Source organism: Homo sapiens, chromosome 4, assembly GCF_000001405.40.
Source record: "Homo sapiens chromosome 4, GRCh38.p14 Primary Assembly".
Lineage (NCBI taxonomy): Eukaryota > Metazoa > Chordata > Mammalia > Primates > Hominidae > Homo > Homo sapiens.
The window spans coordinates 151,680,588-151,694,835 of NC_000004.12; the positions used below are offsets into that span (position 1 = coordinate 151,680,588).

Sequence of the window (14,248 nt, forward strand, 5' to 3'; positions counted from 1 at the left end):
GTGAATTAATGGTAGGGGTGAGTGCCTAAATTATGGAAAAGACAACAGTGAATTACAAACTATTTCTTTTAAAATGCACGGTTTTCTGACTTCTAAATACAGGTTGAGTTACCTCATCTGAAATGCTTGGGACCAGAAGTGTTTCCAATTTTGGATATTTTTGGATTTTGGAATATTTGCATTATACTTACCAGTTTAGCATCCCTAATCCGAAAGTCTGAAATCTGAAATGCTCCAGTGAGCATTTCCTTTGCACATCATCGTCAATGCTCAAAAAGTTTTAGATTTTGAAGCATTTTGGATTTCCAGGTTAGGGATACTCAACCTGTATTTATAGCAACTAGGCTCATGAGATGCTGCCTATCTGAGATCATTTGGGGACTGGTTTTAAAAAGGTAGGAATGACATCAATAGCACATTAGTGTTACACTGTGTAAATGAGGGCTTCTGAAATGCTTCATGCCACTTGAAAACATCTTCTATTTAAGTCTTGGTTCCCATCATGCAAAATTAATTTCTTTGGATGTGCTTAGAAAATACAAAGGAAACTACAGCTTAGTCCCTATGCCGATTTCCCGGGCTCTAAACCAATGGAGTGTGTGTTAACCAACTGACTTACTGTACTCTAATTCAAGTGCAGTGAAACCCTATTGGGGCTGTCCACTTAAAACAGCTGATGTACTGAGGCAGCCCATCATCCTGTAAGTGTCTGTTTATCCCAAAGTATGACTAAAAGGCAATTCCAAGTGAAACTTAGGTTTGGAGAATATCTGGTGTTACTAAATTGGTATTCAGAACATCTGTGAACCACCCTGATTAAACCTCAAAAGGAAGAGGGGCAGCGGGCGGCTAAACAAACTAAAAAAACCTACCTTTACTAACAAGTAAAAGGCAGGCCGGATTTTTCTAAAAGCGTGGGTTGCCTGGATGTTCTGCAATCCTAGAAAATACCATGGCCCATTATCTTAGAATGCAGACTGTGTGCAGAACCCATAAGAAGCACTGAGGTGGAACTGGATTTCTTGAGCGTGCAAAAGATAAGGTCCCTAGGCCCATACAAGTCGATGATTGCCTTGGTCTGTTTGGGCTGCTCTAACAGGTTAGTACCAAAGACGACATGGCTTATAAACCATGGAAACTTTATTTCTGCTCTGGAGGCTGGGAAGTCCAAGATAAAGGCGCTGGCAGATTCCATGTCTAGTGAGGGTCCACTTTCTCACTGGTGGCACCTTCTTGCTGTGTCTGCATGTGGTGGAAGGAGCGAGGGAGCTCTCAGAAGTTTCTCTGATGAGGGTGCTAATCCCATTCATAAAAGCCCCTCCCTCATGACCTAATCGCCCACCAAAGGTCCCATTTCCTCACACCATCACCTTAGGGGTCAGGATTTCAACACAGGAATTTGGGGGAGGATCCCAACATTCAGATCGCCGCAATGACATAAAAGACGTAGGGGTGGAGAGGGACAGAAAAGGAACACAAAATAACTAAAAATAACGTCGCCTTTGAGAAGTTCATCTAAGGACCTTAATTCATCAGTTGGGTCATAAATTTAGACTACAAAATCTTTCCACTGACGTAATCACACTTGGGATTTCTCCATCACTTTTCTGTCCCTACGATGCCTGTCACACAGTAGGTCATCATATTTGTGTCACAGGCTTCCTCACACCCATAGGGATGTCTGGCAGACTGCACATGTTAATTCCACATATGCCAGGGCTAAACTTGAGTCAGACGATGACAAAGATCAGTACCTGTCACACAGACCCCGAAAGACCCCACTCATCGCCTAAATAAATAAACCCTCAGACTCGACACGCAATGGCAGCAGCAGCACAGGCTACTAATTTGCTGTTGTCAGGTAATACTGGTTTCTGGATAGTGAATGCGTCTCCGCTGAAGAAGAAACTGACACCGCGGCCTTCAGCTCTGTGTGCTGCTCTCTTCCCTCCCATTCTCTGAGGCCGCGGTTCGACAGAGGAGGGGAAAGGGGCTCTTTCAAAGCTCCAAAATTTGTCCAGTCCCTCAGAGCTCATTCAGGATCACAGCTCCATCTCCTGCTTGGATGAGAGCAGACAACGCTGATGCTTCTACAACCACCCCCGACCCCCCGTGAACCATGCTGTCTGTCCCAATCCCCCAGCTTATCTCAGGCCCAAAGTCCACCTTCTCTGCTTCTGTTAAAACAGGATGCAAGAAGAAGGAAGACATTGGGACTTGGGCCTCCAGGTGGTACCTGCTGCGCACAGGATTCTGTGTTCATCTCACGGATTTCGCAGTGCCCCTAGCTGGCGTCCCACCAAGCGCCTGTTCCAGGCAGCCCCCTTCTGCTCCCCTCCTCTGCACATGCCCTCACCTCCCATTTCACAAGGACATCAGCTGAGCCACGGTTGAGAACTTTCTAGGGCACTCTCCTCCTCCTCTTCCATCAAACAACCCCTCCACCCCTGCTCAGAACCCCACTCTTTCCACTCCTCCGAACCAAAGATGCTGGTTTCCCGTGTCCTGTGGCTTGAATCTCACAGCTTCACAAATGCTCCGATCTTCCCTGTCTTGACAATGCCTTTGGCTGACCTTGCAGTCACTTGCGTCTGCCCAGTTTCTTGCTTTAACAATAACGATCTAGCACCAGTGGCTACTACCTACCCTGTGTAAGCACATGCCATCTGGATTCTGTGCCTACCCCTCTATAGAAGCTCTTCTCTTAAAAATCAACCCCCTTGCTTGTGGCCAAACATTCAGCTTCTCCCCATCCCGCTGCACCCTGACTCCTGGGGCTGCACCGTAAGCTCCTTGTGAAACCTCCTTCTTGGGCCTCCGGAATGTCCTCCTCTTCCTTGCCTGTCCCTCTGCTGCTCCTTGCCAGTTCATGCCAGGTGGCTCCGGTGTCCTCTTGCTGGGTCCTCTGACTTGACCCCTAGCCGTGAGGAGGATGCCCAGGGCTGCCGCTGCTGCCTCAGGTCCTGTTTCTCTCCCTGGTTGATGTCAACCACCTCCTGAGAGGCCCCGTTCACACCTAGACAATGTGCTCTAAACCAGGATGGCAAACTTCTGGAAAGAGCTAGGGTGCGCATATTTGAGGCTTGGTGAGTGCCCTCTGTCACATATGCTTCTTTGTTTTAACAAAGGTAAAAGCAATTCTTAGTCACAGGCTCTACAGAAACAGGCCAGAGGCTGACATGCTATAGTTTCCCAATCCTTATCCTAAGCCAAACTTGTCTTCCTCACAGACCAGCTCCTCTGCATTTCCCACCACCCATCTTCTGTCTCAAATGATGACAACACCACGCTTCTAGGTATCAGAGTGCAAATTATCATGTTGTCTTTGCTTTATTCATCACCTACTCCCTGAAAAATCTAGTACCTTATTACCAGATCCTAGTGATCCTTCCAAACATGAAATACGGCCATCCTGCCTTTTGCATTCCCAACACCACCACTTCTGACTTGCTGTGGGTCTGGCCACAGTGAGCTCAACAGGTTTCCAATGCCTGCAGCCCATCCTTGGATGCTATCCTACATTTCATGCTGTGGGACACATCTTCCTCTCACCTCCAGTCCCTTCTTGGTTTCAAATCCTTCCCTGCTCCAGTGCTCAGAAATTGTTGCCCACAGCTCACCTGAAACACTGGGGCACTCAACTGGCTTGGACAGCTGGATAGCTGTACCTGCCTAATTTTACCACAAAATGCTTGCTCAGGAAATCTACAATGTCTACTTTCTTAACTAAACCAAATCTGTTACTCATAATTCAGAAGCTGTCAACCAAATAAACCAACCTTTCAAGCAATATACTCAATTAAAAAGCCAAGTTCAACAAGAGGTTGGACCCTTCAAACATCAGTCTTCTGAGAGGTCTTTAAAGATGAATGCTAATTCACGTAATCATTCTCTACCAATTTGATCTCCAGAGTGTTCCTTGCCTGGGTATCATTGTGAGACTATAGCTAGTTTTGCAGCTACTGCCCTTCTAAGCTCTGGAAACATTAGCACTCATAGCTGAGGCTGTTCATTAATTAATGTTTGCTCTATGGGTAGCCTAGTATATCAGTCCAGCTAAACGTTCTTTGAACTGTGTAGGAAAAGAGCTGCTATGGTTTGGTTTTGGCTTCTCAGTCCTTGTTCCATTTAAACTGTAAAACACAACTGTTGCCTGCTTCCTCTTTACTTGATTTTGGAACAACCAAGCCTACCTTTATTTAGAATTGGGTACCCTTCAGGTTCTTAAAACTTTACTGCTTATAAACTGCTTGGGTAAATACCAGGGGCTCCAGGTCCACTCAACAGGCTAATTTATCTCTCAGCTCCTTTAGAGGCCACCAAAATGACTGTTAAACCCCTAACTTCACAGACCAACATATACAGAAGCCGATCACAAGCCAGGCGACTTGGCTTCCAGTCTTTGTGGCTGTGCCATCTGAGGCAAGTCACCTTATCTCCTAGGGCCTCCGTCACCTCGTCTGCTAAATGAAAGAGCTGAAGATCCCTAAGTTCTCTTCCAGGACTAAAGTTCAGCAATTCCGTACATTTTAACCAACAACATAGAAAAACTAAGTTTAAAGCTAAGAAATTTCTATTTCCTCCAGAAGCGCAAACACCTCATCTTCTTGGAGCTTTCCTGGACTCTTCTGGCTGGTGTGAATCTCCCTCCTCTCTGTTCCCACTGCACTGTGTCTAGTTCTAACACTGGAAGCATCCCATTCTGCCTTGAATTAAAATTCTGATGCACAAGTTCTAGTCCTCCCCAGGAGGCTGACAGCACCTGTGGGGTAGAACCGGGTCCTGGTCATCCCCCACACACTGCAGAGTGGGGCTCTGCACCTGATGGGTTCATGGCTGAATCCCCCTGACGTTCCAGAGGCTCCCTATTCCGGCTCAGCTCTGGCTCTGCACACAGCCACACCTCTTGGCCTCTTTCCACCCTCTGCTCCTGCCAGCTACGCTCCTCTCCTTCCCAATCATTCCAGTTCTTTGCTGTTCCTGCACCTGGGCTCCAGGTAGGCACTGCCCTCTCCCTCACCAAATCCTGTTGAGCCTTGAAGACTCTGGTAGAGCTGTATCCCATCCATAAACTCTTCAGCACGGCTCCTGCCTCCACAGAACAGCCACACATTTTCAGCACCAACACCAGAATTTCTGAATGGAGAGGCCAAACCCGGGAGGACAGGGATGAAAGACCAAGAGGCGCGGTGGCTCACGCCTGTAATCCCAGCACTTTGGGAGGCCAAGGCGGGCTGATCACTTGAGATCAGGAGTTCGAGACCAGCCTGCCCAACATGGTGAAACCCTGTCTCTACTAAAAAGAAAATACAAAAATTAGCTGGGTGTGGTGGCGGGTGCTTGTAATCTCAGCTACTCAGGAGGCTGAGACTTGAGAATCACTTGAAACTGGGAGGTGGAGGTTGCAGTGGGCAGAGATTGTGCCACTGCACTCTAGCCTGGGTGACAGGGCGAGACTCTGTCTAAAAAACAAAACAAAACAAAAAAAAGACAAAGAGGCAGCAGATGCCACAAGAGTTCAGGAGGGTGGCAGGTGCTCTGGTATTCAGCACACCACCCTGGCAAAGAGAAGGTGGCTCACACCGAGGCCCACAACGTGCCGGGCACTGTGACTTTTTCCCTCAAAAGCTCTCTGAGGCACGTCCTGCCATTTTCATTTTACAGTGAGGAAACTGAGGGTCAGAGGGGGAACTCATTCAAGCTGAGCAGCCGAGTCGGGAAGGGAACTAACACCCGGGCCACACTAACACATGGATGTGTGCATCCATATCCAGTGGCTGAACATGGAGTTGACACCATCTAGAGTTAACTTATTTGGGCAAACAACTGTTGGGAGTTATTTGTCAATATCTGTCTGTCTTCACTCCCCGGGATGCTGCTGAGACAATGACACACCCACCCAGCCTGGGCTCCCCCTGCCCCGGGACCTTGCAAGGGCCCTGCCACCTGCCTATGTGCCCCCAGAGAACTCTCTTTCTGATGCCCCAAAGTGACACCTACTGCCCATTCTTTCCTTCTTGAAACTTGCCTCTCCCTTGGCTTCTGTGTCACCAGTCCCCGCCCCGCCCCCCCCCCACCCCCCAGTTTCCTGGTTTTCCTTCTACTTCTGTGCCATCGCGCCTGCATTTCCTTCTCTGTGCACGCTTCCCAGTTAAAGGCTAAAGAGCTTCAGGTTCGTTCCCCAGCCACCCTGGCACGCTGCACCCTCCCTGAAAGTTCTCATCTGTCCAACAGCTTCAAGTACAGATGCTGCTGAGTCCATGTTCCACTTACGTTGTGCTGTGTCCCTGGATTCCCCAAACTCTCATGCCCAGACTCACCTCAGATTTCTCCACGTGCTTTTCCCCATGCCTGGAACACTTTTCCCTGTCAGCCTTGGCCTGTCCCTGCTCATCCTCTCCTCAGGTCTTAGCTTAGCTGCTACCTTCTTCCCCTCTCAGAGCACCCCTGTCACTGACTGTAGCCACCAGCTTCAAGGCTGCCTGTGCTTTGATTCAGGGCTGGTGTCTGTCCCAGGAACTGCGCTTCTCATGCTGGGCACAGACCTTAGCACACAGCAGAGGCTAAGTGAACATGAGCTGAATAATGAACCAACGAGATAACTCTCAACTGCAAACCTCCCCAAGATCTTATCAGCTGCAGACTCATAGATCTTGCCTACTGGTTAGCCCCGTGGGGGTGATGTCTGTCCTGCAGGCAGCTCGAAGTCAGCACGTCTGAAATGGAATACGGCATCTTCCCTCACCCCCGGCCTATAAAGTTTATTCCTTTTCCTTTAGCTCCTCCTACATTGAAAAAGTCTGCCCTCTGTTTCACCTCTGCCCAAGCAAGAAATCTGGAAGTTCTGCCAATTGAGATAATTGCTCTCAACTTGGCCTAGCTCACTTCAACCCAGCCACTGCCACCTTGGCTCAGGCCTGGGGCATTTCTCATCCGCATTCCTGAAAGAGGTTCCCAAATGGAATTCCTGCTTCTAGTCTGCTCTCAGACGCTGAATATTTGTGTCCCACCCCAAATTCCTATATTGAAGCGCGATGGTTTTAGGGGATGGGGCCCTGGAGGAGTAATGAGGTCTAGAAGAGGTCACGAGGGTGTGGTCCCCATAGTGGGAATGGGGATCCTATAAGAAGAGATTGGAGGGCCTTCTCTCCCTCCCCCCTTCCTGTTTCACCCCTCAACTCCTGCCTGTCATGTGAGGACATCTGTGAGCCAGGCAGAGGGCTTCACCCAGGAATGCATCAGCTGGCACCCGGATCCTGGACCTTCCCCACCTCCAAAATCATGGGAAAGACATGTTGCTGAAGCCACCCAGTCTATGGAATATAGTGGCCTGAGTTGAGTGAGACACACTGCATTTCCGCAGTGTGAAACTGGCATGAGCTTGTAGTCTATGGCTGTCAAGAGCTGGTGATAAAGGCAGACACAGTTCTCCAGGTGGCCCTTGGTCATCTCCGCGGCTCTGTCCCCACCATTCCCACCTGCCTGCCTCCGGCCCCTGCAGCTTCTGGCGTTCCTGAGCCTGCTGTGCTGCTGCTCTCTGAGCTTCGCACTCTGCTTTGTCTGCGTGATCTGTCCCTCCCACTGCAGAGCGACTCTCCCCTAATGCTTCAGGGCATGGCTCAAACGTCCCCTCCCGAGGGGAGCCCTGGTTGGTTCCCCAGCCTCTGTTCAACTCCCCTTTTTGTGCATTCCCAGCACCCCGTGCATGCTTCTGGCATGACAGGATCACCCTGGGGTGGCTGTTTCCTTACAGATCTGTATCCTCCACAAGTTTGTAAATGTCTGTCTCATTCATCTTTGTGCCCCCAGCCTCTGACACAGTGCAGAGGACACAGTGCACAGTCACAGATTTGAAGGAATAAATACATTTTTACACGGGCTAGAGAACATATTTAGAATGTGGAGTCCACAGGGGATGTTTGTGTCATGTCAGGATATCCTGAGGGAGAACAGCAGGAGCAAAAAAATGGACCTGCCCTATTTCCAGCACTTCTGGACAGAGCTCATCACAAAGGAAGAAAGAAATCCCAGACCTCACTCACCTCTCACTGACAGCGAGGTTCTGTTGCTTTAAATAGCCCAGAAAAGTGTTGAGGACCCAACTAGTCACCTTTTTTGGCTCTGCCCTAGTTTCTTTTATCACATTTTGGAAGAACTCCAGTAGGCCGACTTCGTTCTGTTAAAAAAAAAAAAAGAAAATTACATAAAGCCTCCCCAAAAATGAAAGATCAGCATTCTGAAGGCAAATCTGAAACTGTCCCCTCTGCCTCCTCTGAGACAGCCACTTTTTCTTTGCTAAACCCTGAGATGTCACCAGAACATTCTGATCACTTTCAGCTAATGACAACTATTCTACTACTGTCACTGTGCATTTACATAGCATTTTCTCAAAAGGATAAACACATTTTAGAGAGCCCTGACTTTGCAGACCAGAGGGATGGTGAAATTCCACATCCCCCAAACCCACTTGCTTTCTCCGTGTCTGCTGTGTGTAACCTGCACTCTCCATCCCTGAGCTGTGAACTGGGCCTAAAATGTTTGGCCTGACTTTAATGCCCCTGTTCTTTCCAGGCCTGTCCTCTGCTGAAGTCCCAGTAATTGCTAGAAAAGAGGGTAAAAAACAAAGCAAAATCAAGAAAGAACAAACAGAATATTCTACCTCTGAAAAATCAAAAGTGGATCATACCTGTACTGATTCTCACATCATGACAAGAAATAGACAGGAATGGTTCTGAAATGTTTTCAAAGTGAGGGAGAACATGGGCACATGTGACCCACTTAGGCCACTTAATAACAGGTGGAGAGGGCAGCAGTGTCCCAGCCTTCTGAGCTGGGCCAGGTACAAGATGCCCTGCCTCTCATCGTTTCCTGGGGAAATGATCAGCTGGAGACTTGTTTCATCAAGACTGTACCACTTCTCCCCCTCTGAACTGTCAGCCCCACGAGTCAGGGCTGTGCCCTCCCTGTTCACGATATAGCTACAGCTAAGTCCATGCTGGGCCATGGCAGCTGCTCAGTATTAGGTTGGTGCAAAAGTAACTGCAGTTTTGCCATCTTTCAATGGCAAGAACCGCAATTACTTTTGCACCAACCTAATATCAGCAGACGGAATTGGTGTCTCCCGTCAGCATGTATGTGTGTTGGAAATCACACATGAGGCGCGCATTCTTATCATACCATGTTCACCTTTAAATACTGCAACTGCCACAACTATGCATACGACCAGCCCTGAGGCACTTACCAGGTTCTATACTACAGCTTGCTGCCAGCTCAGATAGTTTTGACACAATCAAGAAATTTAGGTAAGTCCACCCCTACTATTTCAATAAGAAAAATAAAAACTGTGCTGCTCAGAAAGGGAAGGCTGAAATTTCCAAATTCAGAGGATATACGTTTTAAGTAGCAGATTTCCTTTACCCATGGAAATTCAAATCAAACAAACTTTTCTTGAAATATTCCTTTTAAGTTCACACTGCACCTAAGGCTTCTACCCCTGCTCCTTTCAGAGACCCTTCATTAACCAAAAGAATTTTCTGGAAAAAATGAGATACTGGAAAGAAGCAAGATATACTAACAAAAGTGCTCTCCAAGTGTAGCTATTGCAGCTGCTGGAATACACACACAGGCATAGCAGAAATTCCATAATAATAAAAAACCCTACATGTTCTTTGTAACAGATAAATTCTCTGGTGACAAGCCTGCTGAATAATCCTGCAATCATCTCTTTAATCTCTTTTCAAGCCAGTGCTATTATTCTGCTCATGCTAAACCAGGGCAGAGGCCACCTCGGCAGCCCAAGCTTGACTACAGATAAAGGCAGAGCCAGGCAACTTGAAGAGGAAGTTCTGCTTAACTTATGGAAAAGTATTCAAACTTCTACAATAGTACACAAATCACTGGGGAAGCAGAAAACTGCTATCTGGCCCAAATCAGACGGGCAGAATTCCCTTTGTTCTAACCCAGACAGGCTGGCCCACTGGTAAAATGAGCTGTCAGGAGAACTCTTTGCTTTGCCAGGGAAAGGGTTTTCTAAATCCACCTAGAAATATTGCACTTAAACTCACAGGCTTGGCTGAGTTGCTGGGACGTGATGCATATCTATTCCTCTACCCTTGGGTGGTTTTTTTATTGGATGGATAACACGGCAAGTCAGATTTCTGTTTGTCTTTTCATGTCAGTGCTGTGATGAAGCCTCTCTGAGCTGGAACTGTACTTCACTAGGGGATACATAGTTTCAGTCCACAATTTAAAGCAGACAGGAAAATCTGTGGTGGTGATGGGGTGAGCTATAGCGAGTGGGGCTGAAGGAGGCTGAGCTGCAGCCACCCAGGAAATGATGGATCAATAAAAGCTGCACATGGGCTGCCCGCTCTGCTCTTCATAGCAGAAGCTGCTTCTGAGGGAAGAAACACACACATTCTAGTTTCCTCATCTTCTTAGTTTTTCCATGAGATTGGCAAATGCTAATAAGCTTGGCACGAATCTCAGAGTCTCTGGTGAACATGTCAGTGCAGCCATCTGGTTTTCTCAGAAAAACAGTGAGCTGGTAATTCCCTTACATAAAAATCATATGAAGAGCAATGCAGAAAGGCTACAGCATTAGGGAACCTTTAATGTCCTCCTCAAAAGCAACAAGCAAGCATTCGACTCAGGATGAATCTACCCTACATGCAATAGAACTGCAACTTCAGCGACACAGAGAGTCAAGTTCCCTGGCTGACTGCGACTCTAATTGTTCCTTCAGAGATGGCTAAAGCAGCAGGCATGAGCGGTCCTGTCTTTTGTATAATACCTGACAGTCTCTACAGCTCTATGACTGGGAAGCATCTTTTTCACATTTTAATCAGATTTCCCAAAGCACTGAATTACACCCAGAACCAGTGCTGGCTCCGCCTCTCAGACATTAACAGGAACCCTTGATTACTAATGATTTGTCAGGTGATCAATGCTGGTGTGAGGCAAAGCAGAGGGACCTGCTCACCACCACTGCCTGCTCAGGGAAGGAACCTCAGTCTACCCTGCACTAGGCCCTGGGAGCAACCTGCCTCGAAGCGGTCTTCTGCATCCCACCTTCAGAGATGATCAAATGCAAATGCTGGAAGACTCTCCAGTTGGAATAGGATGAAGGCTGATTTCTCAACTGCATTTCTTGTTCTAAGTCACACACCCTGTGAAGCTGACGATAGGCCAGGAACGAGGTGGACTATATTTATTTACGAGAAGGAAACCTGATAGAGCCAGCTGCCCAGTGGCAGACTCAGAGAAGGAAAAGCAGCCCAGAAGAATGCAAGTTGAGGAACAGCTGGTTATGTGACAGGGAGCGTTCTGACAGCTACAAGGGACCCCCAGATGAGCCATTCTGGGCTAGTCAAAGGTGCTCAAGAGTATCTGCTAAATATCTGCTAGACACAGAGCTCAGAACCAGGCCCTGTGGGTGGCTGCGTGAGGCTACTGCTGCTGCTGAGGACAGTGATAACCAGAGTTACAGCAGCAGCGGTGATGGGCGCCAGGCACTGTCTACGCACTCTCTCCACATTACCTCAATTCATCCCAACAACAACTCTCTGAGCTCAGCGCTCTCAGGACTTTTACAGATGAGGACACGAGGCACTAGCTTGCTTGAGGTCCCACAGCAAGAGAGCACTAGAACTAGGACCAAACCTCTGCGGTTTGTGCTTTTAACCTCTGTGTGGCACTGCCTTTGAGGAAGAAAAGGTCATGGTCTTTGCCTGCCTGGGACCGAAACTGAGCACCTAGGAGTGCCAGGCGCAATGGGAGGCAGCCAGCTCATCTGAAGAAAGCACTTTCCCACACTTCCATTATTTTATTTGAGAGCTGCCAGCTGTTCAAAGGTTCTTAACATATTAAAAATGTTGCAAGGAAATTAACTTTGAAATCAGAAGGAGAAAATGGCAGGTTTACTTTCTGCCTTTGCCAGTGTACACCTAGGCCACGTGGCATTCAGCTGTGGCATGACACACACCTGTTCCCAGACCAGGAAGGAAGACAGCTGCACGCCCACTGCACAGGCCATACTGGGCTCCGGGGATGGAGGGCGGCCAGAGCTCCTCTGCCCCTCTCCTGCCCCCTGCCTTGCCTCTGCATCCCCTCCCCACGCTACTGCTGCCCCAGAAAAGGTCCTGCGAGCACACCCAGACCTGGACACTGCACAGTCCTGAACAAGACAAATCTTGTTATTTCTCATACCAATTGAGCATATTGTATTTTATTTATTATTGCATTCTAATTCCTCTAATAGGGTAAGTCCTACCTAATTGAGCAGGTCATGCCTGTGATGGGAGCTGCTGACTATACAAAGGCTCTACATCTGCAGACGGAACCACAGGGGTTTCCACTGGACAAGGCTCTCCCACGTCACAGTGTGTCATTTTGCAGAGGCGCACACTGGAATTGCATCCGTCCCCTTTGCGGCGGGGGTGCTGGGGTGAGCAGCTGCTGAGCATTTGTGCAGACGCTGGAGGAGGCTCATCACCTGCGTATCAACGCAGGCACTGCTGCTTTATTATTCCTGTGGATTTGGTCATTCTTATAAAGTGAGAAAAACAAAACTCAAATACAACAGCTATGTAAAAAAAAAAATGGCCCTGAAAATAACACCAAATGCTAGTGCTGGGGATGGCAATGAAGCAAAGAGGCCCAGGACAGTGATGGCTCTCAGCCAGAAAGCAGGCGTCAGGGCAAGGCTAAGGACTGGAATGTTCAGTGGGGCGGTGGCTTGGGTGGGTTCACGGGAATCGGTGCCCCTTCTGCTTTTCACAGAAACAAGAAGCCGCTGCAATAATCTTTCAGCGAGTGCTCCTGTGAACAGAAAAATTACTCATTGAGAGAGGCCTCGTCAGTGGAGAAAACAAACAGAAGTTAACTGGTGGTGTGAGGCTGGCACAGGAAACACGACCCCCCCCTCAAGAGTGTCAGGAGAAAGCTAGAACAATGCAGAACCTCCACTGCTGCTGGCAAGAATACAGGGATCTGCAGAGGCTCTGAAATGGACCCACAAACATCACGGGTGTGTTCTCCCAAGGAACACAGAACTAGGGGTCCAGGGTCCTGTTTTGGTGCCCACAATTTTTATTCCTGGGTCATTTCCCCAGCAAGGCTTGGGAGCCCCTAAAATCTGAGCAAAACTTTGGCCCCAACCATTTCACTTGTGCTATGTTCCCAGGAAAGCTGGAAAGTAGACAGATCTTGAGTTCAACTCAGGCACCAGTTCCATTTAGGGGATATTCAAACTAATGTGAAAATGACTTTACATCCTCTGAGATGCAGTAACTCCAGGGGAGATGCTGAAGGAAACCAGTTTGGGAATAACAACTTCCCCCGAATAATCAAAATCCAAATAATTCAGGTACTACAAGCTGACAGCAGACCGGCACTGCTAAAAGACTATCTGCACGAATGGGACACAGGCAGTGTGTTGTCAAGAAATCAATTCCAATTGTAGTCACGTTCCAACGCACCTAACACCACCACTGTCCAATCGTCCCCACATGGAAGGAACCTGAGTTGCTCAATAGGAGCTTTCTGGCTGCAGCTTAAAAACAGCAACAGAGGCAGTGAGGATTTGCTCCTTTCCTCCAAGATCTGCCTGAAACCTGAAATAATATATATTTATCCTGAAAAGGAAATTATTCCACAGGAAATTGGGCTTTGGGATAGGTTGGGGACAGAATCCCTGTGGGTCCCCAAGGCTGGCACTCAGGACTTTACTCCTCCCTGCACTGTCTCCCTACTGGGCAGGATCCTGAGGTGTCACACGGCTCTGAGCCCAGAGCATCTTCCCCTCTGAAAGCTCCTCATCCCTTGCATCCAAAAGAAATGAACTGCTGGTTTTACAGAAGTAGAGTTAGATGATACATCTTTTTATTCAACTTTACCAGAACAAAACATTGGTTATTTTTCTAGTGTATAGAGTCACTGTAAAAGCACCCTTAGGCTAGCAAGCACTGGATGCAATTTTTATAAAATGAAGAATAAAATCAATTTTGAAAATTGCACGGAGCTGAAATATGGTGCCTGATGATGTTGACCAAATAGATTTTCCTTCAACAGTAGTTAGAAGGTGAGTACTTTGCACCTCAGTAAGTCTGGCCAGTCTAAAACCAGTCAATATGTTTGTAGATACTATTAGCTTTAAAGTAGTATTACATATGGGATATATAGATATTTATCATGGGAAATTATTTTATAGGCAATTCATCCAGAAAGCAAACCTGGTCATTTCTGGCTT

General features: G+C 47.8%; 1 protein-coding gene across 2 annotated transcripts in view, besides 2 other annotated features; it reads right to left on the minus strand.

Annotated features, from left to right (window-relative positions):
• GATB (glutamyl-tRNA amidotransferase subunit B) overlaps window positions 1–14,248 on the minus strand; it is a 90,504-nt gene that overhangs the window by 10,084 nt on the left and 66,172 nt on the right. For both annotated transcript variants that reach the window (NM_001363341.2, NM_004564.3), the window contains exon 10: window positions 8,043–8,176. In NM_001363341.2, the coding sequence (NP_001350270.1) occupies window positions 8,043–8,176 (134 nt within the window). The remainder of the gene's footprint in view (window positions 1–8,042; window positions 8,177–14,248) is intronic.
• Window positions 6,875–7,375: an enhancer, noted in NCBI's record as "NANOG-H3K4me1 hESC enhancer chr4:152608614-152609114 (GRCh37/hg19 assembly coordinates)". NCBI's record gives its function as "activates a minimal SCP1, AML or CMV promoter by ChIP-STARR-seq in naive H9 embryonic stem cells {active_cell/tissue: H9 hESC(naive)}" and the evidence as "EXISTENCE:reporter gene assay evidence [ECO:0000049][PMID:30033119]".
• Window positions 7,376–7,876: an enhancer, noted in NCBI's record as "NANOG-H3K4me1 hESC enhancer chr4:152609115-152609615 (GRCh37/hg19 assembly coordinates)". NCBI's record gives its function as "activates a minimal SCP1, AML or CMV promoter by ChIP-STARR-seq in naive H9 embryonic stem cells {active_cell/tissue: H9 hESC(naive)}" and the evidence as "EXISTENCE:reporter gene assay evidence [ECO:0000049][PMID:30033119]".